This window comes from Homo sapiens, chromosome 19 (genome assembly GCF_000001405.40).
Source record: "Homo sapiens chromosome 19, GRCh38.p14 Primary Assembly".
NCBI lineage: Eukaryota > Metazoa > Chordata > Mammalia > Primates > Hominidae > Homo > Homo sapiens.
The window spans coordinates 50,232,336-50,247,000 of NC_000019.10; the positions used below are offsets into that span (position 1 = coordinate 50,232,336).

The 14,665-nt window shown below is 49.9% G+C and overlaps 1 protein-coding gene across 3 annotated transcripts in view, besides 2 other annotated features; it reads left to right on the forward strand.

The window, feature by feature from the left end:
• MYH14 (myosin heavy chain 14) overlaps positions 1-14,665 on the forward strand; it is a 106,919-nt gene that overhangs the window by 28,714 nt on the left and 63,540 nt on the right. For all 3 annotated transcript variants that reach the window (NM_001145809.2, NM_001077186.2, NM_024729.4), the window contains one exon: positions 11,907-12,002. In NM_001145809.2, the coding sequence (NP_001139281.1) occupies positions 11,907-12,002 (96 nt within the window). The remainder of the gene's footprint in view (positions 1-11,906; positions 12,003-14,665) is intronic.
• Positions 10,307-10,396: an enhancer, noted in NCBI's record as "active region_14977". NCBI's record gives its function as "activates an Ori minimal core promoter by ATAC-STARR-seq in GM12878 lymphoblastoid cells {active_cell/tissue: GM12878}" and the evidence as "EXISTENCE:reporter gene assay evidence [ECO:0000049][PMID:35858748]".
• Positions 12,377-12,671: a silencer, noted in NCBI's record as "tiled region #8620; K562 Repressive non-DNase unmatched - State 20:ReprD". NCBI's record gives its function as "represses a minimal TATA promoter and a strong SV40 promoter by Sharpr-MPRA in K562 cells {active_cell/tissue: K562}" and the evidence as "EXISTENCE:reporter gene assay evidence [ECO:0000049][PMID:27701403]".

A 14,665-nucleotide genomic window follows, 5' to 3' on the forward strand; every position in this document is an offset into this window, starting at 1 on the left:
AATCCCAGCACTTTGGGAGTCCCAGGCAGGTGGATCATTTGAGGTCAGGAGTTCAAGACCAGCCTGGCCAATATGGTGAAACACCGTTTCTACTGAAAATACAAAAAAGTTAGCCAGGCGTGGTGGTGGGCACCTGTAATCCCAGCTACTCAGGAGGCTTAGGCAGGAGAATAGTTTGAACCCAGGAGGCGGAGGTTGCAGTGAGCTGAGATCGCACCACTGCACTGCAGCCTGGTCAACAGAGCGAGACTCTGTCTCAAAAAAAAAAAAAAAAAAAAAAACAAAAAGACCATGAGTGCCATGGAGAAAGATGGGGGAGGGAGGGGCACAGCTTTAAGCAGGGGCTCAGGGGAGGGTGGACTGAGATGGGGATGTTTGAACGAAGTCCTGAGGAAGTGAGGGAATGAGCACTGGAGATGTGGGGGAAGAGCATTCCTGGCAGAGGGAACAGCCTGTGCAAAGGCCCTGAGGCAGGAAAGGGGTGGCATATTTGAGGGATTGACACTTCTGGTGGTGGAGCTGCAGAGGGGTGGGGAGTCTCAAACGCCAGCCTAGGAGGTTGGGACTTTGTCCTGGGGTGCTGGGGAGCTGTGGGAGGGCTGGGAGCAGGGGTTGGACAAATTCAGCTCTGGGAGCAAGAAGACCCCTTGGGGGCCGTGTGAGAGACACACTGGAGTGGGTGGTGCTGAGACCAGAAGGAGGCTGCTGAGGCTCTAGGGAAGGCTCAGGACGCTGTCCCAGGGCTGCTCAGGTTGGCCCAGGCTGCGCGGCACTGGTTATTTGGTGTTAAATGCTCAGCTCATCACCCCCGTGTCAGGGTGCTGTGCCCACCCCCACTTTTTTTTTTCTTTTGAGAGGGAGTCTCACTCTGTTACCCAGGCTGGAATGCAGTGGTGTGATCTCAGCCCACTGCAACCTCTGCCTCCTGTGTTCAAGTAATTCTCCTGCCTCAGCCTCCCGAGTAACTGGGATTACAGGCGCCCGCCACCTCGCCTGGATAATTTTTGTATTTTTAGTAGACATGGGGTTTCACCATGTTGGCCAGGCTGGTCTCGAACCCCTGACATCAGGTGATCCACCCTCCTCGGCCTCTCAAAGTGCTGGGATTCCAGGCGTGAGCCGCTGCGCCCAGCCTGTGCCCCCACTTTTTTCACCAAACAGCATGTTTTGACAGCAGCTCTGTCTCAGTGCTGCATTAGTTTGCTTAGGCTAACAAAGTACCACAAACCTAGTGCCTAAAACAACAGAAATTGATTGTCTTGTGGTTCTGGAGGCCAGACGCCCGGGATCGTGGTGTTAGTGAGGGTGGTTCATCCCGGGAGAATCGGCTGCAGGTCTCTCCCTAGGCTCCTGGTGGTTTTCTGGCAATCTTCGGCGTTCCCTGGCTCATAGTCGCATCACCCGATCTCTGCTTTTGTGTTCACATGGCGGCTCCCTGTGTGTGCATCTGTGTCCAAAATTCCCCCTCCCCCCTCCCCCCGACCCCCCCGCCCCAACCTTTTTGTTTTTTTGAGACGGAGTCTTGCTGGAGTGCAAGTGGTGCAATCTCGGCTCACTGCAACCTCCACCTCCCGGGTTCAAGCGATTCTCCTGCCTCAGCCTCCCAAGTAGTTGGGATCACAGGCGTGTGTGCCACCACACCCGGCTAATTTTTTTGTACTTTTAGTAGAGACAGGGTTTCACTAAGTTGGCCAGGCTGGTCTCGAACTGCTGACTTCAAGTGATCCTCCCGCCTCCGCCTCCCAAAGTGCTGGGATTACAGGCATGAGCCACCGCACCTGGCCTCCTACCCTACACTGGTATGATTTTATCTTAACTCGTTACATCCGTAATGACCCTGTTTCCAATACTGTCACATTCTGAGGTCCTGGGGTTTAGATCCCCAACATGCTTTTTAGGAGGGGGTGGTGTAGACATGATTCAACCCGTAACAAGTACGTAGGTGGACCTCCGCCTTTTCAGAGGCTGCGTAATGTTTCATTGTTTGCGTGAACTATGATTCTTTTAACCAAGCCCTCCAAAGAAAGACCTTTAGGTGTTTCTGGGCTGAGCCAGGGCCGCCTCTGGGTCTGATTGTCTTCTGGTCTCTGGCGCTGTGGGAGGCCCCAGGAGCTATTGTTGGCTCCAGGGCCGGATTGGAAGTGCTGGAAATGGAGCGTAGCTTGGCTGTCTACCCAGGCTGCAAACAGCCGGGCCTCTTGTGGCCTATTGACACAGGGTCTTGGGCCTCTCCCACCCCCACCCCGCCGCATTTCCCAACCAGGGTTGCATAATTCCCCAGCCTGCATGACTCCGCAGCTGGGCAGCTGGCACACAAATTCAGACTGTGGCTGCAATGGGGACCTGGGCCTCCCAGCCTGTCCTCTTAGGTCCTGCCTGGCCTCTTGTCACCATGAGCTCATGTGACCCTCCTGGCAGCTGCCCTGCTGTGTGGCAGGCGCAGGCAGCAGCTCTGATTTTTGGAATTCAGAAATAAAAACTTTGCAGCAACCTATGCATGTAGTAACATAAACTGAATGTGGCTAAAGGTTGTACTGACAAAACCAAGCCTTCCCACTCTTCCCTGGCCCTAGTTTCCCACTGTTGAGCTTCTTGTATCTCCTTCCAGAAATATTTTAAGAATATAAGAAAAGACACATATTATTTGTCTATAGGAGGAGGCATTCTCTAACCCCACAGCTGATGTTCAGCTGTCAACATCACTGTGGTGATAAAAAAAATGTGAAGCAATTTCTCTATTGGTTCAAAAGTTCCGGCCAAGTGCAGTGGCTCACGCCTGTAATCCCAACAGTTTGGGAGGCCGACTGAGGTCAGGAGTTCGAGACCAGCCTGGCCAACATGGTGAAACCCCGTCTCTACTAAAAATACAAAAATTAGCCAGACATGGTGGTGGGCGCCTGTAGTCCCAGCTACTCAGGAGGCTGAGGCTAGAGAATTGCTTGAACCTGGGAGGCAGAGGTTGCAGTGAGCCAAGATCTCACCACTGCACTCCAGCTTGGAGCAGAGCGAGACTCCATCCAAAAAAAAAAAAAAAAGTTCCTGGATGTTGGTTGCTCCAGCTGGCCCCCCAGCTCCCTACCCTTCCACTAGAGACCCCCCTGGACCCTGGCCCAGCACTCTGGCCTAGGTTAGTCTGGGCCAGGCAGTGCTAGAGTTAAATACTCAGCTTGTCATTGGCTCACTCCTGTAATCCTAACACTTTGGGAGGCCGAGGTGGGAGAATCACTTGAGGCCAGGAGTTTGAGACCAGCCTGGGCAATATGGTGAGACCCTGTCTCTACTAAAAATTAAAAAAAAAAAAAATTAACCAGGTGTGGTGGTGCAAATCTGTAGTCCCAGCTACTTGGGAGGCTGAGGTGGGAGGATTAAGTCCAGGAGTAGGAGACTACAGTGAGCTATGATTGCACCACTGTACTCCAGGCTGGTGATAGAATGAGACCCCATCTCAAAACACCCCAAAACAAAGAAACAAATTACTCAGCTCATCATTCCCATGGAAGGATGCTCTGGACCCCCTCTCCACTGCCCTTTCCTACAGACTGGTATATTTTGGCCATAGTTGTGGTTCAAAATAGATGGACCTCATTCCTTTTTGCAGCTGCGTAAGGTTTTATTGTTTAAATAAACTATGATTCTTTCAGCCAATCCCTTGCAGATAGAGCCTTAGGTTGTTTCCATTCCATTACTATTGGAACAATTAAAAAAAAAAATGCTAAGCCAGCGCAGTGGCTCACGCCTGTAATCCCAGCACTTTCAGAGGCCAAAGCAGGCAGCTTGCTTGAGCTCAGGAGTTTGAGACCAGCCTGGGCAACATGATGCAACCTCGTCTTTACAAAAAACACAAAAAATTACCTGGGCGTGGTGGTGTGCGCCTTTACTCCCAGCTATTTGGGGGGCTGAGGTGGGAGGATCTCTTGAGCCCGGGAGGTGGAGGCTGCAGTGAACCGAGATCATGCCACTGCACTCCAGCCTGGGCGACAAAGTGAGACTCTGGGTCAAAAAGAAACAAGCTACCGTGAATATCCTTGTAAACAGGTTCTTGTGCTCTTGTGGAAACAGACCTGTAGGTTCAATTCTTAGAAACGAAATGCCAGCTGGGCGCGGTGGCTCACACCTGTAATCCCAGCACTTTGGGAGGCCGAGGCAGGCGGATCATGAGGTCAGAAGTTTGAGACCAGTCTGACCAACATGGTGAAACCCTGTCTCTACTAAAAATACAAAAATTAGCTGGGCGTGGTGGCACATGCCTGTAATCCCAGCTACTCGGGAGGTTGAGGCAGGAGAATCGCTTGAACCCGGGAGGCGGAGGTTGCAGTGAGCCAAGATTAAGCCACTGCACTCCAGCCTGGGTGTCAGAGCAAGACTCCATCTCAAAAAAAAAGAAAAAAAAGAAATGAAATGCCATTTCCAAGGAGACTTGTGATTCTTGTTTGCGTTCAGCATTAAAAAAATCGAACAGCTTTAAGATATAATTCACGTCACACCATTCACCTATTTAAACTGTGCAATTCCATAGCATTTTGTGTATTCATAGAGTTGTGCACCTATCATACAGTCACTTTTAGAACATTTTCAGTAGCCCAAGAAGATAACGCATACCCTTTAGCTGTCCCCCCAGGCCCTGTCCACAGCCTCTGGCAACCACTCTTCTGCTTTCGGTCTCTATGGACTTGCGTATTCTGGACATTTCATAGCAGTGAAATCATGCCGTATATGATCCTTTGTGACTGGCTGCTTTCTCTTGGCATCATTTTCAAGTTTCATCCACATTGTAGCATGCAGTAGGTTTCCTTCCTTTTTATTGCTGAATAATTTTTATTGTTATCTTCTTATCATGGAAAATTTCAAACATGTATGCAAACAGAGTGCAGAATGTAATGAATGCCCCACCACCACCAGCTGGCAGCTGTCACCAGCTCCATCAATGATGAACCGGTGACCTCTTGTGTTTCATCTCTCCCCAACCTCCCTACCCCAACTCAGGTGTGAACATTTTTTTTTTTTTTTGAGACAGAGTCTCGTTCTGTCACCTGGGGTTGGAGTGCAGTGGCACGATCTCGACTCACTGCAACTTCCACCTCCCGGGTTCAAACAATTCTCCTACCTCAGCCTCCTGAGTAGCTGGGATTACAGGCATGTGCCACCACACCCGCTAACTTTTTTTGTATTTTTAGTAGAGGCAGGGTTTCACCGTGTTGGCCAGGCTGGTCTCGAACTCCTGACCTCAAGTGATCCACCCGCCTCCGCCTCCCAAAATGCTGGGATTACAGGCGTGAGCCACCGCACCCGGCCATGAGCATTTTTTAAATTGCAGAGAATCTACCTCGTCGCTGTCCACAGGGTGGCGCTAGTTTCCAGTTCCTCCAGCATATACCTGGAGCACCTGTGTCCCCACCTGCACCCAGCAACGATGGCTGGAGCTTTTTTGTCTTTGCTGATGTGGCAGATGAATGAGCTCTCATTACAGTTTCATTCTGTGTTTTGCTTACAAGGAGTGGAGTTAGTCACCTTTTCACAGACTTTTTTTGACAAGAGACAGAGGGTCAGGGAGGTGGGGTGTCCTGTCCTAGGACTCACCCCAATTCAAGAGGAGGAGGCAAAGCCATGGTGGAAACGTCTGACCCCAAAGCCAGCCCATGATCCAGAGAGAGAGGTGGACACCTCAGTGTCACCCACAGGGAGCCCAAGGCAGAAAGCATTTGGGGCCAATCAAGGCAGGGTGTCTGTCCATCTCCTTCCCCATTTTACATCTCTGCCTGCCACCCCTTGGCACCATAAATGCCATGCTGAGAGGTTGAGCAGGTAGCCTGGGACACAGGGAGGCATGCCAGCCTCTCACATGAGGCATCCGCAGGCTGGGCTTGCTAGTGATGGGCGAGTCTGATGTCAGCAACAAGAGCTGACTGCCAGGTCCTCAGGGCATCAGATGCGCCCTGGGGCCTGGCACAAACACAGCTTCCTAAGCCAACTGCAAGAGGCCATTTTAAAGGCCATTGATGGAAGCCAGGTCTGGACGGGGTCTAAGCTGATGTTAAGGAATGATCATTAAGTTTGCTGGGCCAGATGCACTGTGGGTCTGTAAGGATGTGTCCTTCTTTATTTATCTTTTTTATTTTTTATTTTTTTTGAGATGGAGTCTAGCGCTCTGTTGCCCAGGCTGGAGCAGAGTGCGGTGGTGTGATCTCAGCTTACTCCAACCTCCACCTCCCTGGTTCAAGCAATTCTCCCATTTCAGCCTCCCGAGCAGCTGAGATTATAGGCGCTCGCCACCACACCCAGCTTATATTTTGCATTTTTGGTAGAGTCGGGGTTCACCATGTTGGCCAGGCTGGTCTCGAACTCCTGACCTCAAGTGATCCCCTTGCCTTGGCCTCCCAAAGTGCTGGGATTACAGGTGTGAGCCACCACGACTGGCCTAGGATCCTTCATTTAATCACATCTGCAAAGTCCCTTTTGCCATGGAAGGTCACATTCACAGGTCCCAGGGATTAGGTTATGGGTATCTTTGGGGTCTGTTATTCATCCTCCCACCTCCTCTGAAAACATCAGCATGTATTTCCTACGAACATTCCTTTATACAACCACAGACCAGCAGTGTCACCAGGAAATCGAGTTCAGCACAGCACTGTTATCCAGTCCACAGACCTTAGGCCAGTTGTCCCCCAACCTCCAAAAAAAAACAAAAAAAATTCTCTCTTGCGCATGATGGAGTCTCACTCTGTCCCCCAGGCTGGAGTACAGTGGCGCGATCTCAGCTCACTGCAACCTCCGCCCCCCAGATTCAAGCAATTCTCCTGCCTCAGCCTCCTGAGTAGCTGGAATTACAGGCATGCGCCGCCACACCCAGCTGATTTTGTATTTTTAGCAGAGACGGGGTTTCTCCATGTTGGTCAGGCTGGTCTCGAACTCCTGACCTCAGGTGAACCGCCTGCCTCGGCCTCCCGAAGTGCTGCGATTACAGGCGTGAGCCACCGTGCCCAGCCCTCTTGCTCTCTTTTTTTCCTGGTCATCCATCTCTTTACTCTCCTTCAGTCTGAAACTCTTCCTGAGTCTTTCTTTATCATTCATGGTTTTGACACTTGGGAAGATTACAGACTGGTTGTTTCATCTGTATCTGGGTCTGTTTCCCTGCAATTACATTCTAGTTACACGTTTTTGGCGGGAGTATTCCAGAAGAAATGCTGACCTCCCACCCCCACTCACACACACCTTTTTCTTTTTCTTCTTTTTTTGAGACAGTGTCTCACTCTGTCACCCAGGTTGGAGTGCAGTGGCCCGATCTCCGCTCACTGCAAGCTCCGCCTCCCCGGTTCATGCCATTCTCCTGCCTCAGCCTCCAGAGTAGCTGGGACTACAGGTGCCTGCCACCACGCCTAGCTAATTTTTTGTATTTTTAGTAGAGACAAGGTTTCACTGTGTTAGCCAGGATGGTCTCGATCTCTTGACCTCGTGATCTGCCCGCCTCAGCCTCCCAAAGTGCTGGGATTACAGGCGTGAGCCACCGCGCCCGGCCACACACACCTTTTTCTAAGCCACCTTTGTGTAGAAGTACAGTATACACACCAATAAAAGGAGCACAGGCCCTTGGCATCCAGCCTGGGGGAGTTTTGGGAGGGAACACCCTGTATATCCAGCACCCAGGAGCCCCCCATGTCCCTTCCCACCACCAGCACCCCCTCAAGGTAACCATTATTCCGACTTCTAAGAGCATGGAGTTGTGTTGCCTCTTCTTGGATTTGGTACAAATAGAATCACACGGTGTGCAGTTTCTCACCTGGCTTCTGTCACTCAGCCGTGTGTTTGTGACATTCATCCATGTCCAGTGAGGGAAGGGGGCTTTGGAGAGGCCAGTTCCACAGACACATTCACTTTGTAAACGTTCCTGGAGCTGGATGTCTATAGTATGTGTCCTTTTCTGTATGTGTGCTGCGCATATGTATTTACATTCATAAACCTATGCTACGCCGGCACGGTGGCTTATGCCTGTAATCCCAGCACTTTGGGAGGCTGAGTTAGGAGAATCGCTTGAGCCGGGGAATTTGAGACCAACTTGGGCAACATGCCAAGATCCCATCTGGACAAAACATTTTTTTAAATTAGCTGGGCATGGTGGTGAGCATCTGTAGTCCAGCTACTCAGAAGGCTGTGGTGAGAGGATCGCTTGAGCCCAGGAAGTTGAGGCTGCAGTAAGCTATGATCACACCACACCACTGCACTCCAGCCTGGGCAACAGAGCAAGACTCTGTCTCTTTAAAAAAAAATCTATGCTAAAATGAAAAAGGAAAATGGAAGCACAGAAATTAAAAGCACTGCCTCCCAGGCCAGGCACAGTGGCTCATGCCTGTAATCCCAACACTTTGGGAGGCCAAGTGAGGAGGACTTCTTGAGGCCAGGAGTTGGAGACCAGCCTGGGCAACAGAATGAGATCTCATCTCTATTAAAAAAATAAAATAAAATAAAAAAATAAAAACAGAAAAACAAACAAAAAAACCCAAAAAAACAACCACAGACTGCCCTGGTTTGAATCCCAGCTCTGCCAGCCTATGTGAGCTGGGTGATCTTGGGTGAGTTGATTGAGTGCCTCAGTTACCCTATCTGTAACATGGGAAGCATAGAAGGACCTGCCTTGTTCAGTGGTTATGAAGGGTACCTGAAGTCATTTGTAAGTGTTTGGAACAGGTTGTGGTATGGAGGAAGTGAAAAATAAATCAAGGTCCATTTCAGTGCACAAATGGTACAAACTGTTCTAGAATGAATGGTTGACCAGGCGGCTGAGGGGTTGCACTGACCTATGGCCCCACCATGAAAGCATCAGATGCAGCCAGGCTTGGTGACTCATGCCTGTAATCCCAGCACTTTAGGAGGCCCAGGCGGGCGGATCACGAGGTCAAGAGATTGAGACCATCCTGGCCAACACGATGAAACCCCGTCTCTACTAAAAATACAAAAATTAGCTGGGCGTGTTGGCATGTGCCTGTAGTCCCAGCTACTTGGGAGGCTGAGGCGGGAGAATCACTTGAACCCAGGAGGCAGAGGTTGAAGTGAGCCAAGATTGTGCCACTGCACTCCAGCCTGATGACACAGCAAGACTCTATCTCAAAAGAAAAAAAAAAGAAAAAGCATCAGATGCAAACACAAACACAGCCTCACCTGCTGTCCCCTTGACTCAAACACCACACACAGCTCTGCTGTCAGGGGAGAGTGTTCTGAAAAGGTGATCAATTTTGATTGAGTCCTGAGCAAAGCAAAGAACAGCCTTCTCTGGGATTTACACAGTGGCTGTCCTCCTGGAAAATTCACTGTATATTAATTTTTTTTTTTTTTGAGGCAGGGTCTCTCTCTCATTGCCCAGGCTTGAGTGCAGTGGTGCAATCATGGCTCACTGCAGCCTCGACTTTCCAGGCTCAGGTGATCCTCCTACCTCAGCCTCCCGAGTAGCTGGGACCACAGGCATCCACCACCATGGCCACCTAATTTTTTGTATTTTTAGTAGAGACAGGTTTTCACTATGTTGCCCAAGCTGATCTCAAACTCCTGGACTCAAATGATCTTCCCGCCTTTGCCCTCCCAAAGTGCTGGGATTACGGGCGTGAGCCCGTACCACCACCACCACACCGCACCAAGCCTCACTGTGTATTAAAACCAAGCACAAAACACTGCTGTATTTATACGTAAAACTGTTGGGAATTTGTTGCAGATAATTACAAACCATGACTTCATGGACGCAAATGTCCAGGGGGCCATTTTTCAGAAGCCATGTGGGCTGTAGAAACCGTCCGCATCCAAGTGGACTGCCTAGTCCTGGTGACGTCCAGAAACACCCGACCCCTCCACAAGTTCCTGAGACATATTCTAGGGGGCAGCACTACCCACTTCCAATGCACTTTCTAGAACTCTGCACAGCCTACTCGCCAAATCTATTTGTAACCCCCAATTCAAGGTCCATTTCTGTATTAGTCATGCTGCTGATAAAGACATACCCAAGACTGGGTAATTTATAAAGTAAAAGAGGTTTAACAGACTCACAGTTCCACGTGGCTGGGGTGGCCTCCACAATCATGGCAGAAGGCAAAAGGCACATCTTACATGGTGGCAGGCAAGACAGAATGAGAGCCAAGCAAAAGGGGTTTCCACTTATAAAACCTCAGATCTCGTGAGACTTATTCACTACCACGAGAACAGTATGGGGGAAACAGCCCCCAAGATTCAGTTACCTCCCACTGGGTCCCTCGCACAACACATGGGAATTATGGGAGCTACAATTTCAAGATGAGATTTGGCTGGGGACACAGCCAAACCATATCAATTTCGATCCACAAATCGTGAAAACTGTTCTACAATGAACAGCTGATGATGTGGCTGAGGGATTGCATTGGTGCATAGCATCACCATGAAATCAGTACTCCTGGTGTGTTCGTGGTCATTTACGGTCCTGCGTAGAATGGAGGAAAATTTGAGTCACCGAGTGCACACTCAGCTCACATCAGACAGGGGTGGTGTTCTGCCTTCTGGTTTCAGTTCTCATACTGTACAGTGTCCTTTCCTAAATAGTGCCATGTTAGTCACAAATTTGCACTTTTTGCTGGTGATTGCACTGTCTCAAATGTCCCCTGAGCACAGTGCTGATGTGCTGTCTGGCATCCCCAAACACAAGAAGGCTGCCATGTGGCTTTGGAGAAATGATAAAATACGTGTGTGAGATCAGCTTCCTCCAGGTGCGAGTTACGGTGCTGTTGGCCTCGAGTTCTGTGCGAATGAGTCAGTAGTATATTAAATAAGGTGTCTCTAAAACAAAATGCACATAAAACAAGGTGACGAGGCTGGGTGCAGTGGCTCACACCTGTAATCTCAGCACTTTGGGAGGCCGAGGCGGGTGGATCATCTGAGGTCAGGAATTCAAGACCAGCCTGGCCAACATGGCGAAACCCCATCTCTACTAAAAATACAAAAATTAGCCGGGTGTGGTGGTGTGCACCAGTAATCCCAGCTACTTGGGAGGGTGAGGCAGGAGAATCGCTTGAAGTTGGGAGGTGGAGGTTGCAGTGAGCCGATATGGCACCACTGCACTCCAGCCTGGGTGACAAGAATGAGACTCCGTCTCAAAAAAAAAAACAAGGTGACTTATTGATCGGTTGGTGAAAATGTGACCAGAGGTGGTGGTACACACCCGTGGTCTCAGCCACTCTGGGGGCTGAGGCAGGAGGATCACTTGAGCCCAAGAGGTCAAGGCTGCAGTGAGCTATGATCGTGCCACTGCATACCTGCCTGGGCAACAGAGCAAGACCCCATTCAAAATAATTTTTTAAGAAAGAACATGACCAGTGCAAGTCACAAGAATCGACTATACTTTATATTTCCTCCCTTTTGCACATAGATAGCAGTAAGCCACACACAGCATTGTTTGTTTGCCTCCTGTTTTTCACTCATTGTGGTAGAAGTCTTTCCATATCACTGTAGACCTTCTTCATTCATTTCCCTAAGTCCTTTTAAATTCTACTTGCATTGTTTTACAAAATACACAACGTAAGCAGACACTGTTTAAGTATCATAGCGATAGGGCAAGCCTCAGATATAATAAACTCAACCGGAATTCACCGATCTGTTCACATATTTCAAGGCCTGCCCAGTGTCAAAGATGGATTCTTTTTTTTTTTTTTGAGATGGAGTCTTGCTGTGTTGCTCAGGCTGGTCTCAAACTCCTGGGCTCAAGTGATCCTCCCGCCTCGGCCTCCCAGAGTGCTGGGATTACAGGTGTGAGCTATCACGCCCATCCCACAAGTAGATTTTAAGCTGAGGGGTGGTGATATAATTTGCCTTAAGCTTTTTAAGTTACATGTTTAAGGGGCCAGTTAAGACCACACATCGGGGTCCAGAGCCACACGTGACCTCTGTCCTTGCGTCCCCAGCCATGCTGCGGATGGTCTCAGCAGTTCTCCAGTTTGGCAACATTGCCTTGAAGAGAGAACGGAACACCGATCAAGCCACCATGCCTGACAACACAGGTACTGCCCCCGGCCTGCCTGCCCACGACCTCCAGCCCCCGCCCAGGTGGTGCCCAGCCCTCCTGCACCCCTGTCCCACGTAGAGAGCATCCCCCTTCCAGCCACACCTGTCTCCAACCCAGGATCACTCTGATTTCCTGCATTTTTTTTTTTTTTTTTTTTTTGAGATGGAGTCTCGCTCTGTCACCCAGGCTGGAGTGCAGTGGCGTGATCTCAGCTCACTGCAAGCTCCGCCTCCCGGGTTCACACCATTCTCCTGCCTCAGCCTCCTGAGTAGCTGGGACTACAGGCGCCCGCCACCACGCCCGGCTAATTGTTTGTATTTTTAGTAGAGACGGAGTGTCACCGTGTTAACCAGGATGGTCTCGATCTCATGACCTCGTGATCTGCCCACCTCGGCCTCCCAAAGTGCTGGGATTACAGGCCTGAGCCACCGTGCCTGGCCGATTTCCTGCTTTTTGCTGAGTCTTTGCCAAAATAACATCAACCACTCTTTTCCTGATTCTAAAAGCGTGAGCTCTGCTGAAAGTGAACCGCACCAGCACGACAGTGGGGAACAGCAGGAGCCCATCCTCCCAGACCCCCTCTCCCCACAGGGAGCCACCATTAGCATTTGGCGTAGCTTCTCCAGCCTCTGCACTCTGCAGAGACACACTTCTTTTTGCCTTTCAAGAACAGAATTATAGTCAATATCCCTTACTTTAAACCAAAATAGAAATAGCTATGTCTCTTTATTATTATAAAATAATACAAGCTGGAAGGGGGAAAAATCTGGCATGACAGAAAAGTAGAAAGGAAGAGAGAAAATTACCCATAATCACCTGTAATCCCAGCACTTTGGGAGGCCAAGGCAGGCAGATCACTTGAGGCCATGAGTTCGAGACCAGCCTGGCCAACATGACAAAACTTCTTCTCTACTAAAAATACAAAAATTAACTGGGAATGGTGATGGGTGCCTGTAGTCCCAGCTGCTCAGGAGGCTGAGGCAGGAGAATTGCTTGAACCCAGGAGGCGGAGGTTGCAGTTGAGCCGAGATTGTGCCGCTGCACTCCAGCCTGGGCAACGGAGCAAGAATCTGTCTCCAAAAAAAAAAAAGAAGAAGAAAGAAAGAAAAAGAAGAAGAAAGAAAGAAAAAGAAAAAGAAAGACAATTACCCATAATCATATTCCCAGAGATAATTGCTGCTCACATTTTGGGATGTGTCTCTCTGGGCTTTGTTCTGTGTCTGTATCACTGTGGATATAGAGTGTCACAGAAATGGAATCGTGCTTCACCCCCTCTTCCCCTGGAGACAGCAAGAGCTTTCTGTCCTGATTATGAAATCCGATGGGCTCATTTCTGAAAGCTGCACAGCACAGAAAATAGGAGGACAGGATGTATTACCCCACTATGCTGCTGGTAACAGCATTACCTGAGGCACCTGGGGGCTCTGTACATAGGCACCCAGCAGGTGTGCCGTGCACACACATTTACTCATTTGTTTTACAAAACTGGAGTCAGACCCTGCAAACTGTTTTGAAACCTGCTTTTTTTTCCCCTGAATGCTTTCGGGATAACTTTTCAGGTTATTCACAAGAAACTCTACTGGGATCCCTTCCCTCCCTCCCTCCCTCCCTCCCTCCCTCCTTCCCTCCCTCCTTCCTTCCTTCTTTTAGATAGAACTGTACTGGGATTCCCTCGCTCCCTCCCTCCCTTCCTCCTGCCCTCCCTCCTTCCTTCTTTTAGATAGAACTCTACTGGGATTCCCCCCCTCCCTCCCTCCCTCCCTTCCTTTCTTCCTTCCTTCCTTCCTTCCCTCCTTCCTTCCTTCCTTCCATCTTTCCTCTTTTAAATGAAGTCTCGCCCAGACTGGAGTGCAGTGGCACCATCTCAGCTCACTGCAACCTCTACCTCCTGGGTTCAAGCGATTCTCCCTGCCTCAGCCTCCCAAGTATCTGGGATTACAGGCACGCACCACCATGTCGGGCTAATTTTTGTATTTTTAGTACAGACGGGGTTTCACCATGTTGGCCAGGTTGGTCTCAAACTCCTGACCTCAGGTGATCCGCCCACCTTGGCCTCCCGAAGGGCCTCCCTGGGATTACGGGCGTGAGCCACCGTGCCCCGCCTCCAGTGTAGCTTTTAGTGACTGCAGAACATTCTTTCAAATGGGCCAGGCACCTGTAATCCCAGCTACTCAGGAGCTGAGGCAGGAGAATCACTTGAACCAGGGAGGCGGAGGTTGTAGTGAGCTGAGATTGCATCACTGCACTCCAGTCTGGGTGATAAGAGCCAAACTCTGTCTCAAACAAAACAAAACAAAACAAACAAAAAAACCATCAGAACATTCTTTCAAATGAATGAAGCCCGACCCATCTAACCAATTCCCGCTTCTTGGGCACTGAGGTTGTTTCCTAGCTTTCTCCGATTATAAACAACACTGCGCTGAACATCCTTGTGGCACGGTCTTTGCTCACATGCAGGGTTATTTTGCCAGTGCTGGTTCCTGGAAAAAAAATAGTTGGGCAGAGAATGTACACACTTTTGGGACTCGTAATGCCTCTCCTGGGAAAGGCGGGGCCCGTCTTCTGCTCCCCCAACAGTGTGGGAAACGGTACCCTCTCCCTTGCTGGGCAGCAAGCACCTCTTCCCAGTGCTGATGGAATCTTGGTGCCTCTCGCCCT